This window comes from Homo sapiens, chromosome 22 (assembly GCF_000001405.40).
Source record: "Homo sapiens chromosome 22, GRCh38.p14 Primary Assembly".
NCBI classification, from domain to species: Eukaryota; Metazoa; Chordata; class Mammalia; order Primates; family Hominidae; genus Homo; species Homo sapiens.
Window position 1 is genome coordinate 19,967,577 of NC_000022.11, and position 14,911 is coordinate 19,982,487.

At 61.8% G+C, this 14,911-nt stretch overlaps 2 protein-coding genes across 25 annotated transcripts in view; one reads left to right on the forward strand and one right to left on the reverse strand.

Moving 5' to 3' along the window:
• The window catches only part of COMT (catechol-O-methyltransferase), a 28,204-nt gene extending 25,805 nt beyond the window's left edge, over nucleotides 1-2,399 (forward strand). For all 5 annotated transcript variants that reach the window (NM_001362828.2, NM_000754.4, NM_001135161.2 and 2 more), the window contains one exon: nucleotides 960-2,399. In NM_001362828.2, coding sequence (NP_001349757.1) covers nucleotides 960-1,160 — 201 coding nt within the window. In that variant the 3' untranslated portion in view covers nucleotides 1,161-2,399. The remainder of the gene's footprint in view (nucleotides 1-959) is intronic.
• The window catches only part of ARVCF (ARVCF delta catenin family member), a 51,690-nt gene that overhangs the window by 2,443 nt on the left and 34,336 nt on the right, over nucleotides 1-14,911 (reverse strand). For 2 of the 20 annotated variants that reach the window (XM_047441369.1, NM_001410839.1), the window contains 16 exons: nucleotides 14,357-14,515; nucleotides 13,635-14,161; nucleotides 12,167-12,666; nucleotides 11,321-11,504; nucleotides 10,382-10,499; nucleotides 9,839-10,010; nucleotides 8,110-8,181; nucleotides 6,536-6,663; nucleotides 6,067-6,217; nucleotides 5,543-5,741; nucleotides 5,349-5,460; nucleotides 5,161-5,251; nucleotides 4,782-4,835; nucleotides 4,310-4,395; nucleotides 3,640-3,759; nucleotides 2,320-3,529 (listed from right to left, as the gene is read on the reverse strand). In XM_047441369.1, coding sequence (XP_047297325.1) covers nucleotides 3,652-3,759; nucleotides 4,310-4,395; nucleotides 4,782-4,835; nucleotides 5,161-5,251; nucleotides 5,349-5,460; nucleotides 5,543-5,741; nucleotides 6,067-6,217; nucleotides 6,536-6,663; nucleotides 8,110-8,181; nucleotides 9,839-10,010; nucleotides 10,382-10,499; nucleotides 11,321-11,504; nucleotides 12,167-12,666; nucleotides 13,635-14,161; nucleotides 14,357-14,515 — 2,661 coding nt within the window. In that variant the 3' untranslated portion in view covers nucleotides 2,320-3,529; nucleotides 3,640-3,651. Of the gene's footprint in view, nucleotides 1-2,319; nucleotides 3,760-4,309; nucleotides 4,396-4,781; nucleotides 4,836-5,160; nucleotides 5,252-5,348; nucleotides 5,461-5,542; nucleotides 5,742-6,066; nucleotides 6,218-6,535; nucleotides 6,664-8,109; nucleotides 8,182-8,991; nucleotides 9,102-9,129; nucleotides 9,148-9,838; nucleotides 10,011-10,381; nucleotides 10,500-11,320; nucleotides 11,505-11,815; nucleotides 12,117-12,166; nucleotides 12,667-13,634; nucleotides 14,162-14,356; nucleotides 14,516-14,911 lie in introns of those variants that run through there. The other 18 variants (XM_047441367.1, XM_047441372.1, XM_006724243.4 and 15 more) reach the window with 14 other exon arrangements.

Sequence of the window (14,911 nt, forward strand, 5' to 3'; positions counted from 1 at the left end):
AGGACAGCTGCAAGCCCTGTGGGACTCTCCAGGCCCATCCCAGAGGCATGTGGGGTCGGATACCAGTGTTTCAAGGCACCTGCCTGCAAATTGATTTTATTATACTTTAGATGTTTGAGATTGCTTGTTAACTTTTGTTTGGTGACTAAGTCAAATTTCCAAGACAAGGTGACTGGGGTGTCCCTTGCCCTGGTAGGTCCTTCCTCCCCATAGGCAAACACTTCCTCTCAAGGTTTCTTGTTTATGTGATGTAAGCAAACCCTTTTCTGATAGCATAGATAGGCAAGCATCCTATGAGGTTTCTCCCGATAGTGGACCCCACGGGCCATGCCCTATGGCTGCGTGTCCAGTAACAACTCCTTCCTTCTGCACAGAACCCAGGCAGAGGAACTCTGTGTCCTCCCAGGGCCCAGGCACTGGTGAAGATGGGGGGTCTGCAAATGCAGGAGCTTGGGGATGTCCAGAACTGACCCCAAGGGGCAGGCTTGTTGATGGGAGGTCTGCCCCACCTCAGCCCTGCAGGGTCACCCTGGTCAGGCCAATATTGTCTCCAGGGACCATACCAGCAACCCCTCTCCTTGGGTGCCTCTCCCTCATAGGCCTGAGTTCCTGGCACTGGGTGTTGAGGGCCCCATTGTTTCCACTCACCCAGCTAGCATTTATTGAGCACCTACTGTGTGCCACATGCTGTTCTAAGGGATGGATACTCCTGAGATGGATACAGGAGTTGATGAGAGAAAGGTCCCTGTCCTCACGGGGCCCATGTTCTGAAGGTGGCACCCAAGTCTTGTACAGTCCTTTCCTGCAGGAGTCACGCTGGGCAGAAAGTGGAAACCTGGCCCCAGGGGCTAGGCACAGGCGTGGTGCCGTGGCCTAGTGAGGAGCACCCATCCTGGTTTGGGGCAGGTTCTCTGGGCACCTCTGACCCTCACCTCCCCCACCCCCCGGTCTGTTTGCAGGAATGTGGCCTGCTGCGGAAGGGGACAGTGCTACTGGCTGACAACGTGATCTGCCCAGGTGCGCCAGACTTCCTAGCACACGTGCGCGGGAGCAGCTGCTTTGAGTGCACACACTACCAATCGTTCCTGGAATACAGGGAGGTGGTGGACGGCCTGGAGAAGGCCATCTACAAGGGCCCAGGCAGCGAAGCAGGGCCCTGACTGCCCCCCCGGCCCCCCTCTCGGGCTCTCTCACCCAGCCTGGTACTGAAGGTGCCAGACGTGCTCCTGCTGACCTTCTGCGGCTCCGGGCTGTGTCCTAAATGCAAAGCACACCTCGGCCGAGGCCTGCGCCCTGACATGCTAACCTCTCTGAACTGCAACACTGGATTGTTCTTTTTTAAGACTCAATCATGACTTCTTTACTAACACTGGCTAGCTATATTATCTTATATACTAATATCATGTTTTAAAAATATAAAATAGAAATTAAGAATCTAAATATTTAGATATAACTCGACTTAGTACATCCTTCTCAACTGCCATTCCCCTGCTGCCCTTGACTTGGGCACCAAACATTCAAAGCTCCCCTTGACGGACGCTAACGCTAAGGGCGGGGCCCCTAGCTGGCTGGGTTCTGGGTGGCACGCCTGGCCCACTGGCCTCCCAGCCACAGTGGTGCAGAGGTCAGCCCTCCTGCAGCTAGGCCAGGGGCACCTGTTAGCCCCATGGGGACGACTGCCGGCCTGGGAAACGAAGAGGAGTCAGCCAGCATTCACACCTTTCTGACCAAGCAGGCGCTGGGGACAGGTGGACCCCGCAGCAGCACCAGCCCCTCTGGGCCCCATGTGGCACAGAGTGGAAGCATCTCCTTCCCTACTCCCCACTGGGCCTTGCTTACAGAAGAGGCAATGGCTCAGACCAGCTCCCGCATCCCTGTAGTTGCCTCCCTGGCCCATGAGTGAGGATGCAGTGCTGGTTTCTGCCCACCTACACCTAGAGCTGTCCCCATCTCCTCCAAGGGGTCAGACTGCTAGCCACCTCAGAGGCTCCAAGGGCCCAGTTCCCAGGCCCAGGACAGGAATCAACCCTGTGCTAGCTGAGTTCACCTGCACCGAGACCAGCCCCTAGCCAAGATTCTACTCCTGGGCTCAAGGCCTGGCTAGCCCCCAGCCAGCCCACTCCTATGGATAGACAGACCAGTGAGCCCAAGTGGACAAGTTTGGGGCCACCCAGGGACCAGAAACAGAGCCTCTGCAGGACACAGCAGATGGGCACCTGGGACCACCTCCACCCAGGGCCCTGCCCCAGACGCGCAGAGGCCCGACACAAGGGAGAAGCCAGCCACTTGTGCCAGACCTGAGTGGCAGAAAGCAAAAAGTTCCTTTGCTGCTTTAATTTTTAAATTTTCTTACAAAAATTTAGGTGTTTACCAATAGTCTTATTTTGGCTTATTTTTAATGCTTTTTCTCAGTGTTTTTCTTCTGTTTCTGAGTCACGAACAGCAGGCACTGAAAGCAGTCCCCCAGCCACTGCCGAAGGTCAGTCCCGGAGGTGCTGCCCAGGCTCCAGGCAGATGCGGCAGCCCCGGCCCCAGCCAGCATGGGCTGGAGAAAGGCTCTCTACTGCACAGGGGCCTCACGTGACTGCAGGGCTCTGGGGAGGTGGGGCACCTGTAGCCTGACCCCCACCTTGCTGCTTCCAAAGCTTCCTTGCCCAGGGCTGGGCCTTGTGGGGCACCCCCCACACCGTGGTCTGCCTGCCTGCAGGGTGCCCAGGGAGACCCTCCGCCTTTAGAAGTCCAAGTTCTTTCCCAGCCCCCTCCCTGCCTAGCTGCCTGCCCCTGGCGCCAGACCTGGCCCGCACCACTGGGGCACTGTGTTCCCAGGGGCACCCTCCTATCCCACCAGCCCCAAAGCCCAGCCAGGCACCCTTCCCTGCCACCTCCCTGGGCCCTGCCCCAGCAGCCCAGTCGGCCTCCTCGGGCCTTCTGTCACTCGCTCACACACAGCACCATGTCAGTAAACAGCTAACTCAGGCCTAGGGAGTTAGGTAGGATGGGGGGAGTGGGGTGGGGGGGCAGGAGGGTGTCCCCAAAGTCAGGCTTGGCTGGGGCGAGGCGCTGCCAACCCCTGCCGCCAGGGGGCTCCAAGCTCCACGGCACGATCTGCTCAGGGTGGCCCTTCTTCCACGATCCAAGCCCTAAGAACAAGAGGCTGGGCCTGGGCCCTGCAGAGGGAAAGGGGATGGTGGACGCTGCAGCCACTGAGTGGCACAGGACCACGTGTAACCTCAGGGCAGGGCAGCCAACTCCACAGGCTACATGGATGGAGATGTGGATAGAAGCATCTGCCCTGGGTGGTGTGGGCTGACCCCAAGGGTCTTGGCACCAGGGCTGATCCTGACTTGCTGGTCCCCGAAGGGCGTTGGAGGGTATGGTGCCCATCCCTACTCTGGTCCCATTTCCTCAGGCCCCTGATCCCACAGTGCCTGGGACAGGGCTGTGGGCCCAGGGAGCACCCTCCCTCTCTGACCTCTGCCTGGTCTTTCCGGGAATGGGCCACTGGGCTGCTGGACTGGAGGCCAAAGTCCTGCGGGGAACGTGCGGGAAGAGCAGAGCGTGCAGGCAGCGGAGACTAACAAGAAGCCCTGGCCCAGAGGGCAGGAACAGGTGGACGAACAACCAGATGAGAGAACGTACCAGGCATGCAAGCTAGACCCAGGAATCAACGGGCTGAGGCTTAGCGTCCCCTACGGCGTCCACCAGCCTGACCGCGGGCCTGCTGGGCCCGGGGGGAGGGGCCTTCCTGCTGGGGTCGAGCTGCAGCGCACGGGTGGGCATTAGAGGCACAATAGAGCAGGTTAGTTAGAGCTCCTGGGGGGACAGGGCAGGGGCAGGGCCGAGGCTGGCGATGTAAGGGTTGGCCTGCCAGGACAGCACAGGTAGCACCAAGGGCGCAGGGAGCCGGAAACGTGTGGCTCACACGGGCCCAGGGCGGGCACGTGCACACACACAGGCCTGCACAGGAAGCCAGGGGATTGGCACACAGCAGGCAGCAGGTCCTGCCATCGCTGGTGGACCCTGGTGGGCTCTCACACGCACATGCACAGAAGGGTGCACACACACTAGCTCACAGGCTCTGGCCCATGCAGGGTGTGGCCGGGCAGTGTTGTCCCCAGTGGGTGGGAGCTGCAAACTTGTCAGTACCCACAGACTGACTGGCGTGAAGGGGCTGCTTCCTGGGCTTGGCCCCACAACCCAGCTGTACCCCAGGGCCCAGACCAGACCCAGCATGGCCTAGGCTGCTCTCCAGCAACCCCTAGACACGGGGCCTCACCGGGGACCTGCCCACAGCCACATGACCACTTACTTTCAAGGGTTCCTTCTCAGAGGCCTCTCCTGCAGAGCTGGCGCCCCGTGGCCTCCGCTCCCTCCGGTCCACCGTGGAGTATCCGTCTGTAGATGGGGTAAGGTGGGGCATGAGGGGCGCTCTGAGGGAGGCCCTGTAGGAGCAGATCTCCCTCTCAGCCCAGACACAGGGGACTCGTGGGACAGGGGCTTTGGGAGACAGCCCCCACCCACCCTGTCCTGGAGATCCAGGCTGGTGCCAGCTCTCACCAACACCCTGCCAACTCTCCAGACTCCCCTCCACTTGTGGGTCAGAGCCCCTGGCTGAGCACTAATCCCTCTCTAGCTGCCCTGTACCTCACCCTCTAAGCACCCCTAAACCAAATATCTCTCCTCCACCCAGCACCATCTACACCCCATAAAACCAGCAGGCCCACTTCAGGCCTTGGTCCCCTCCCGGCACAGAAAACCAACCACACTGCATCTGCACTCACCTGGGCCCAGCGCATCCATGGGGATCACATCCCGGCTGCCAGTTTTCTCGCCCTCTGCAAGGCAGGAGGAGGAGACGGGCTGCATGTGGCAGCCAGGGGGGATCGGGGCAGAGAAGCCCACACAGGGCTGGCCCAGGTAGCCCTAGAGGCTCTCTGTCACTAAGGTGCCCAACCTCTGCCAGCTGGCAGCCTCACCCCAGCTTGACAACAGCGCGGATGCTGTGGGAAGGGAGTAGCCAAGAGGCAGAGGGCAGGGAAAGTGGCCTATGGAAGCCGTCTCAGTGGGAGGCCTGACTCCTCCTTCACCTTCACCCAAGGGTCAGGCAACTGGGGCAGCTGGGGTCGCCACCCTCTAGGCTCCCTAAGCTCCACCACTCACCAAGGCTCTTGTCCACCAGTGGCAGCGTGCTGTCATCGAAGCCCCCAGGACTCAGTGCTCCCTTAGGCCCCTTGGCAGTAGCAGCAGCTGACTGAGACATAAAACACAGACACAGGGTGGGTGAAGCACATGGAGTGGGAATAAGGCAAAGTGAGCAGGGAATGGAAGGAAGGCCAGGGAAGCCGCACCTGGAAGCGCGCCTTGGTCCAACCATCTTTCTGCAAGGTACCACGCAGCTCCTTGTAGCTCCACACTGTCTGCAGCACGTGTGACGCCGCCTTCGCTTCGCGTACCGATTGGCTGTGGGGCCGGGGGCGGGGTCAGTGGTGGCCCCTCCCCCACCTCCGCGGCTCCCCAAGCCACCGACCCCGCCCCTCCACACCTGGAGGCCACGAGAGCCACCAACGCTGGCACCCCGCGTGCCTGCAGGAGCGAGCGCGCGTTATCCAGGCTGTCGGACACGATTTCGTGGATGGTGTTGAGCACCGCCACCACGGTGTCTTCCTCCAGGCAGGCCCCCGGTCGCGGCGGAGCCTGTGCATTGCGCACATTCCGCACAAGCTCAGCCATGGCGTAGCTCCCTGAGGGGCAGGACTAGGTGTCAGAACACACCTCTGCCCCACCTCTCCAGGAAGGAGCAGGGATCCCGCGAGGGCGAGGGGCACTGCCAGGAGAGCCCCTGGAGACCGCCTGTGTGCAGGCGGTCACAGGAGCCCCTGTGAGCAGGGCGCTGAGCTTCAGAGACAGGGCCGGGGGGACTGGAGCTACCTCCAGTTGGGACAGCGCCCAAGCGAGAGGGCCGGGGCCTGGACTCCCAAACCACTCATCCTCCAAGCCCCTCCGATGGGACCCCAAAGCTGCAGGCACAGTTCGGTGCCCAGGCGTGGGCTTTGCAGGCGTCCTCACCGATGAGGTCTTTGTTGCGCCGGTCCAGCGAGAGGTTGCGCAGAGCGATGGCGACGGCGCGCACCACCTTGTCGGTCTCAGACTGCAGCAGTTCCACAAGCACCGGCAGCCCGCGCTCTTTGCGCACTGTGGCGCGGATGTACGTGGCCCACTGCGGAGGCGGGGAGAGGGTTGCTCAGACATACATGCCAGGCACTCTCCCACCTCCAGACGCTGACCGCTCTCTCCAGCTGGACCTTCCTGCTCCCGTGCCCGACAAAGCCCTACCCCAAAAGCTCAACGGCACCTCCACCGAGGTTTTCCCACCGTCCAGGGTGCACGCATTGCCCGCAGCCCATACACCTCTTGGATCCTGGGGTGGTGGTGTGGCCCCTCCTTTCCCCGCCAGCCGAGGCAGGAGCTGCACCAGTGAGGTGCCTGGGATTCCCTCTCTCAGGACTTGCCCACCCTGCCCGACCTGGTCCCTCACCATCCAGTTGCCGGCACTGAGGTTCTGCAGAGCGCCGGCGGCAGCCTCCAGGGTGTTGAAGTTCCGGCTCTCCGTGAGGAGGGAGAGGTAGAGACGTACCACCTCGGGCTGGTACAGCAGCTCAAAGCCTAGGTGCAGGGCAACCGCCACCCACGGTCACCCAGAATCTGCTCTCATCCATCATACCCCTCCCGCTTCCCGCTTCAGAGCTCCCAGGGCGTGGGTGAGCTGGGGCCAGGGATGGGTGTGGATGAGTCACGTAATATTTACTATCAACATATAGTCACCCAAGGGGAAAAGCGTTCCCATTTCACAGAGGAACAAACTGAGGCTCAAATCAGTTGGACCTGCCTGGCAGCAGGAGCATCCAGGAGGCCTGGGGTGGGGAGGGAGGTGTCAACCAGGAACGCTCTCCTAGCAACAAGACCCGCATTTCCCGGTAGGTCCCTGAAGCTATGCATCCTGGCCACGCCCCTGGTAATAGGGCCCACCCTCCCTGGCAACAAGACCAGCATTGGCCAGTAACTGAGAGTTGTATAACCAAGGCCACACCCCTAGCAAGAGGACCTGCTTTCACCAGTAACTGAAGCTGTGCAGAGAGCTACGCCCCCTAGCAACAGGGCCCACCCTCCCCCACTGACAATAGAGCCCACCCTCTGTAAGTCAACTGATGCAGTGCAACCAGGGCAGCTGCCCTAGCAACAGGAGGCACTCTTCCTGGCAACCACTCCAAGTTCCCGGGCAACTGAGGCGCCGTCCTGCTGCTCTGCCCAGTGCTCCAGAAATGAGGGGTCAAAACAGCCTTCCAAGCTTGCCTGTCTCCAAACTGGGGCTTCAGCCTGGCTTGGGTACTACCTCGATCTCCCCTGTACCCACCCAGTGACATTTCATCACACCCTCGCCAGTCCTCATGCCCCATGCTCCCTCTACTCCTGCCCTGCTGGGCTTTCTGCTCCAACACACTCCAAGCACACTCCCCGCTGGGGTATCTGCATCAGCCCTGCTCTGCCTGTAATACTCCCCCACAGCCCTCCTGCGGCTGGAGCCCTCCACCCTGGTGACATGCAGGCTCTTCCAACTGGCTAGGCCCCACCAGGACAGACCTCTCTCTCAAGCCAGATCCCAGCATACAGCCCAATAGGCACTGCCCTGTCCCTGCAGGTGTTCGTCTGGCCCAGCCTCTGAACCTGGATGTGAGCATGCCCGCCTGGCTCCCAGCCCCCTCAGATAACTCAGCTTTGTGGCTAACACAGGAGGCCCTGCCTCCACTGGAGGCGTCCCTCCAAACCTTCCCACCTCTTACGCACCGTGAGGCCGAGCAAGCCCTCGGCCTCTCTGTGCCTGTCTCCCCCAACCTTGCCTGACATGACCCATGGCACTTCCTCCCATTCTAAACCCTCAGCAGGTGTCCTGGTGCTGAATCACCCTCCAGGAAATCCTGCACCTAGGGGCCTGTTTCCCCATCTGTTCCCTGAGGCCCTCCAGGCCTGCTTGATGGCTCAAAGCTTCACTACCAGGGCAATCCTGAGCCCAGACATCCCCCAGTGGAGCTGGCTTCATCTCAGCCCACTCACCTTTGGCGGCCTCAGTTCGCTTGGGCAGGTCTAGCGTGTCAAAGTTCCGGTCCATCTCACCATCCTTCTTTCCTGGAAGGGAAAGGTGGTGGGAGGTGAGGCAGACCCCATATGGGGAATGGGTGTATCAGGAGAGTTGGGCACAGTTCTCTCCTACCCAGGCCCCAAAAGGCACCCCCATGTCCAGGCCTGGGCACCTGTGGGAGTGGAGCACCGTTGTCAGAGTTTGGGCAGACAGTTTAGCCTAGGGGTAGGAGTTGGTGGCAGTGGGGCCTGGGGATGTCCCAGCCCTGCCCCTAGGACTCATCTCCCACCAGGTGCTGGGAGCTGTACCACAGACCCTCCCGGTGGCTCCCTTGCAACTGCCAGGTATGTAGACTGAGGGAAGCCAGGAGCCCTGGCTGGATGGTAGGTGGATACAAGCCAAGAAACTGAAGGCTGACCAGGACAAGACTCACTTGGGTCACACAGTAAGGCAGAACTAGGGGGAAACTCCCCCAGCTGGGGTCAGGACATTGTCCCAGGATCTACTAGCCAGGAGAAACCCCACAGCAGCCCACCTAACATTTGTGTAGCCCTGGCTTGCACACGTCTGTGACAGTGAGCCCACTGTCAACCACTCTCCCCATGTCAGATGATGCTTCTACCCCTTCAGAAGGCAGCAGAGTGGAGCCAGATGACCTGGGGTCCCTGCCCTGCTCACCCTCATGGGACCCTTGTATCCCTCCGAGCCACATGATGCCCCATTCTATCAGAGAAACAGACTGCTCCTTGGTGCCCCTAGAGATAAGTACCCCCGGGCCCTGCCCACTCTTGGCTCTGCCCAACTCTGCCCAGGTAGGCAAGTCTGAGGTTACAGAATGAGCCCCGTGGCCTTCCCACCTGCCACTGTCATAAAGATGGCAGCCCGAGTGATGAAGCCAGGGGTGGGGCAGGGCCCTGGGGCTGGAACGTGCTCGCCTCTTCCCAGGTACCCACTGCACACGCCAGGCCTGGAGAGCAGGATAAAAAGGGACTCACCTTGGTGGAACCACTCCTCTGGGAGGCCGGAGGAAGCAGAGGAGAGAGGAGAGGAGCCTGAACAGGCAGCACTCATCACCCCCCCATGCCCTCCCGGAAGCCTCAGGTTCCCACTGCACACCCTGGATCAAGCAGGCAGCATGTGGAACCTCATCCCATCACTTCTGGGCACTGAGCACCCACCAGGGGTACAAGAAGAGGGAGGCCTGGGGTCAGTGGGGCAGGGGCAGGTGGCGTACAGGTCCCCCACAGCTGCTGGGGAGGTCCTGGGAACCTACACCCTGCTAGTGCAGTAGAGAAGGTGTGCAGGGCATCTTGCCCAGGCAGATGGGGGGCTGCCCCACAGGTTGGTGGCAGTCTACAGCTATTCTGTGAACAGTGAGCAGGCAGCAGCCATGGCTCCTTCCCAACTCATGGGCAAGTGGAACTCTCCCCGGAGTAGAAAGACTGGGTCTGGGCATTGGTTGGTTTCCCTTGTGTACTCCCTGGGGGTCCCACAGTGTAGATGGGGAAGGTTGGACCTGGGTCCCATCAACCATGTGACCCAGGGCAGTCCAGCCTCCTTGACTCCTGGCTTCCCTGCCTGCCTGTTGGGGGCTGACCAGGTGTCCTCTAGCCTCCATGATGGGCTGCTGTGGGTGTACAGAGAGCCTTCCGCTGGGGCAGGAGTTGAGATGGTAGAGATGATACCCCAGTCCGCCCCACCCACCTTTGGCCTTCTTGCCTCCAAAGCAGCTGGCATCATCCCGCCTCCGGCGCTGGGAGCCTACAGCACTGCCCAGGGGCCCGGGCTCGGCCTCCTGGTACCTGTCGGCCCCGGGCACCTCCTTGTGCACGTGGTAGGACAGGTTCCGCATGATGCACACGCAGTTCTCCACCGACTGCAGGGAGAGGTGAGTGGGTGGGGCAGGGCACCCTAGGCACAGGGCTGGCCCTCAGGAAAGACTGGCCACAGCTGGTGTGCATGAGGGCACCGGGAGCAAAGGAACAGGGAGTCCTCAGTGGAGGGGAGCAAAAGGGCGGTAACCGCCAGGAAGGGTCCATGGGAGGAAGCCTCTGCCCTCACGGCACACCTTCTGCCTGCAGGACGGTGCCCACTTCAGTGTGGTCACTGCGAGGCGGGCCACACCCAGAACGCCACCCCAGACCCACAAGCCCATTCCCCTGTGCTGCTCCCACAGTTCCAGCCTCCTGGGACCTGCATGATCGTCTCTCCAGCCCTTGGTATGAGGCTGTGACCGTCCCTGCCCACCTTGTTGTCAGTGTCCTTCCGGCCCACAGCCGACTGCAGGGCATGCAGGAGCGCGTCCACCAGCCCTTCACACTCCCGGAGTCGCCGCCGGGCCTCAGCACCATCGGAGCTCACATTCCTGTGTGGCCAAGAGCAGGCCAGGTGACCCCTGGCTACCAGAAACTCCCTGGCTCCACCCTGGCCTTGTGGGCTTGTCTTCATCTGCAAAATAGGCCCTGCTGCTGCCCTCCTAGCACTAATGGGAAAGGACCCCACAGTCTGGAGCTCAGTGAAGGGGGAGAAGCTAACTGCCCCCAGGCCTCAGGAGGGGAGCCCTGGCAGACAACTATCTTGGCTGGGGATAGCTGGGCAGGGAAAGACAGGGTTTCCCTGCCTCCCAGCTGACCTGGAAAGGGACAGGTGCACTCTCAGAGAGACCTGAACCTGTGCAAGGGCAATTCTGGGTCCCTCGCCACCCCAATGGCAGCTCTGGGCCCCACCTTACCCCAAGGTCAAGAGCCTGCAGGGCTGCGCGGGAACACCCTGATGGACAAGCAGGACTGTGGGGACCCAGGACTCTGTGGGGTCAGCAGGGCCTCCCAGGGGTAGGAGGGGAAGGGCAGAGGTCACAGGTGGCTGGGATGAGCCTCCCAGGCAGATGAACAGGAAGGTCCCAGCTCCCCCTCTGGCTGTCAAGTGATGGGAAGGTAGGTGAGAGCTGGGCAGGGCTACGGTACCACAGAGACCCCTCCAGAGGGTGCCCCTGGGAAGACTGGGACACCACTTGGGGGTGAGGACAGCTCCATCAGGCCCCACTTCTCATCCACAGGACTTGTGCCACAGCTCTGAAGCTCCTAAGCTCTGGCGCTCCTAAGCTCGCCGCCATCTTCCACACTATCTGGGACCACGAGGACGGGGCCTGGTGTGCATGTGGGCTTTAGCACCAGGTCTGGTCCACACCTCAGGCAGCCCGACGTGTTCTTGAAGACAGTTGTCCACTCGGCGTCCCGTGGCTTGGAGTCCTCGTTGGGCTCACGCTCCCATCCTGAGTGGGGCACGATCACCTCGTGGGTCAGCGTCTGCAGGCCATGGTCAATGATGACCATCTTCAGGGGCTCATAGGATGACAGGTTCCACAGGGTGCCTGTGGGGTGCGATTGGCCAATCTGTGCTGACCATATGCACCGCCTGCCTACCTCCCCAGGTGGCCACGCTCAGGACCTGTCCCACTCTCCTCATGTCCCAGCTCATGCAGAACAGTAGGAAGTAACAAAAGCCGTGAGTGGTTCCGGGGGACACCCAGTACTGGTTTCCAGCTAGGAAGGAGCCCCAAAGGGGAGGAGGTGCAGAGGAGGGTGTGGCAGTGCTGTCCCGTCCCACCCATTCCCTGCCATGTGGCAGGTGGCACTAACACTCCTGAGGCCACAGGGCCTCACAGAGACACGGTGACCCTACCTGTCCCTCAGCTCTCACAAGGCACAAGCCCCACCACTGCACGGTTGGGGTGGGAACCAAGGAGGTGGGTCCCAGGAGAGTTTCTGTGGGGGCAGGAGGTGTGAAGGCAGGAGGTGAGGGGACATGCCCGAGGGGCGCAGCGTCAGCCTCCCTGCTATGGTAGAGACTGGGGAACCTGTCACAGTGTCTGGGCCTGATGCCTGGCTCCTGGGGCAAGCGTCTCAGCAGCTGCACTCCTGCCTACCGGGTGCTTTCCCAGGCGGTCGCAGGCCGAGTGGCCTCGTTCCTCCCGGGTTGAGCCTCACACTCTTCTCTTCCCAGGGGATGTGAGCATGGCCAGGTCCCACTCACCAGTGACAAGCTCACGGACCTCGTTGTCCCGGGCAGCCCTCAGCAGGCGCACCAGGGCAGGCACACCACCGCAGTCCCGGATGGCGGCCTTGTTGTCAGTGTCGCGGCCATAGGAGAGGTTGCGCAGTGCCCCACAGGCCCGGCGCCGCACCTCAGCCCGCGGGTGGTCCAGCAGTGCCACAAGCAGCGGCAGCCCCCGCAACTGCCGTACACGCCGCTTGACACCCTCGTTCTCAAAGCACAGATGCTGCAGGTAGGCGGCCGCATTGGCCTTCACGGGGTCCACGGGGTGCCGCAGCATGGCCAGCACCTCAGGCAGCTCAGGGTCCCGCCAGCGCGGCTCCTTGCGGGCGCTATCCACTGAGGGCGAGCGCCGCACCAGCCGGTCCAGGCTGCCCATGCTGCCCCGTTCAGGCTGGGCCAGGGGCGCCGTCACCATTGGGAACGCAGGCCGCTCGTCCGCCAGCTCGCCGCCATCATCTGCTGTGTCCTCGTAGGCCCTGCACAGGCAAGTGGGGCGCGTGGACATCGTCACAGCAGCCGCCAGCCCTGCCTCTGAGCTGCCCCATCACACCTTCTTCAGGACTGCAAACTCACCCAGCAGCGCTGGGCTGAGAGCACCTGTATCTTGGCCCGGAGCATGGTGGGGACACAGAGAGTCATGCACCAGCCCAGTGAGAACCAATTCAGAGCCAAATGCCAAACCCCAGCCAGCGGCTACCAGGACCCAGGCAACCCTCCCAGGACAGCAAACTCACTCACTGCTGTCACCGGGCAGTTTCCCAATCCCGAGCAAAACAAGTTTCTGTGAGACATCTGCTATGGCTGCTGGAGAGACCGTCTCACCTCCCTTCCACAAAACCACCCCATCTTCCATGAGGCCCATCTCTGGCTGTGCCAGGATGTAGGGGGAGTAAATGGCCCTCTCCGCATGAAGCCATCCCAGTAGGACCACCTGAGGAGTATTCAGGCCACCAGCCCCTTGGGGCACAAGATCTCCTTAGCTCTCAGTAGCCCTGTGGGTTGCTGTCATCAAACCGCCTGCCCTGAGGCTAGGAGTGACGGTCAGGTGACTTGGCCAGGGTCACACAACAAAATCCTGACCCGGGCTGTGGTCACATCCCCACTCCAGAGATGCAGAAACTGAGGGCAATGGGGACAGAACCAGGGGCTGTGACAAGGGCCAGGGCTCTGGGTTCTGGTTACCCAGAGTGTGGCTGGAGCAAGGCCAGTGGCCGGCACTCTTCCCAGCTTTCCTGGGCCCTGGGCCTGCAGGACAGTGCCCAGCCGAACTCCTACCACCCCAGGGTCCACCTTTCTTCTGTCCCTGACGAGAGCCAAGGCCAATTCAAACTAACATGCATGACTAACTCAACTGCGCCACTTGACAAGTGGGGCACTCTGTAGTTGGGGGGTGGAGGGCAGACTTCCCAGAGGAGGTAGCCACAGGGGACGGGGTGCAGCTCACCTGGTATGAAGGCCCCGCCCACACTCAGGCCTCCTCCTTGTGGCCGTGCCATAGTCAGGCTCCAGCTCAGGGCCACCCTCGTCATCAGCGGCCAGGCTGCGCGTGTCATCCTCCAAGCCATACGGCTCTGCCTGGAAGCGCTCGGGCAGGGAGCGGCCACCTGGTGGCCCAGGCTCAGGACCCACCGGGAAGGCTTCCCGGTGGCCAGGCAGTGTGAAGCAGCCATCACCAGGGCCTGGGCCAAGGGGGCCAGCACGTGGGGGCCGCATGCCCAGCCCTCGGGACAGGCTGCCATAGCTGGGGCTGTCCCGGGGCTCGGGGCCTTCGGGAAAGCCACCCCCACTGCTGAGGTAGGCTCGAGAGAGTGTGGCCACTGGGCCACCACCACGCAGCAGGAAATGCCGGTCCAGGGCACCATCTGCAAAAGGGCCTAGTGGGGGGCCGCCATCCAGCAGGGGGAGTCCATCTGGGCCCACGGGCACCTGGCGTACTGTCCGAGTGGTCACCGTCTTGACAGTCTTGGTGACCTGGTGGATGGATAGGCAGGTAGGTGGGGTAGCACGAGAGGCCTAGAAACTGCTTTGCTGGGGTCTGGCTGGCCTTAATTTCCCACTCGAGCAATGAGAGGCCCCACGTGGCAAGCTTCCATGTCCACTCTGCAGGTGGGACAGCTGCAGCAGCCTGGCCCTGCTCACCCACCCACTGCCTGGGCCTGGCCATACCTTGGTCTCGGTGCGCCGGGTTGTGCCATCTTCGGATGTGACAATAGACACATGGGAAGTGGGTGTGCCGGGGTCCTCCTCCACCGTCACGGTCTCCTCCAGCACATCAGGTGCCTCCGGCATCGTGGCCAGTGAGGCCTGGCTGCCTGGGCTCTGCTCCTGGGGCAAGGAGGGACATTGGTGGGCAGGCCTGCTGCTCAGTCACCCCTGGAGTGCAGGTCTCCACACACAGCAGCTCTGCCTCAGCTCATGCTGGCCAGCACACCAGGGTGCCTTCCTCCTGGTCCTGAACCCACCCACCCCAAGGCCTGTTTCGGCCCAAGCTGACAAGGACAGCAATAAGTTCTTGCCCTCTGAACATCGAGGTGCTAACCCTGCCCCGGCACCCCATCCTGGGGGGACCCTGGGGCTGGACCCCCATCTCAGGTCTCCTCAGGCTGAGTTGGCAGATAAGGACATAGACCCTGGGGGGTGAAGTCTTCAGGGCCCTCCCCAAGCTGCATGGCCTGGCTGCCACAGGCTCCTCCAGGCCCCAGGAGGTGCCAGTGAGACCTG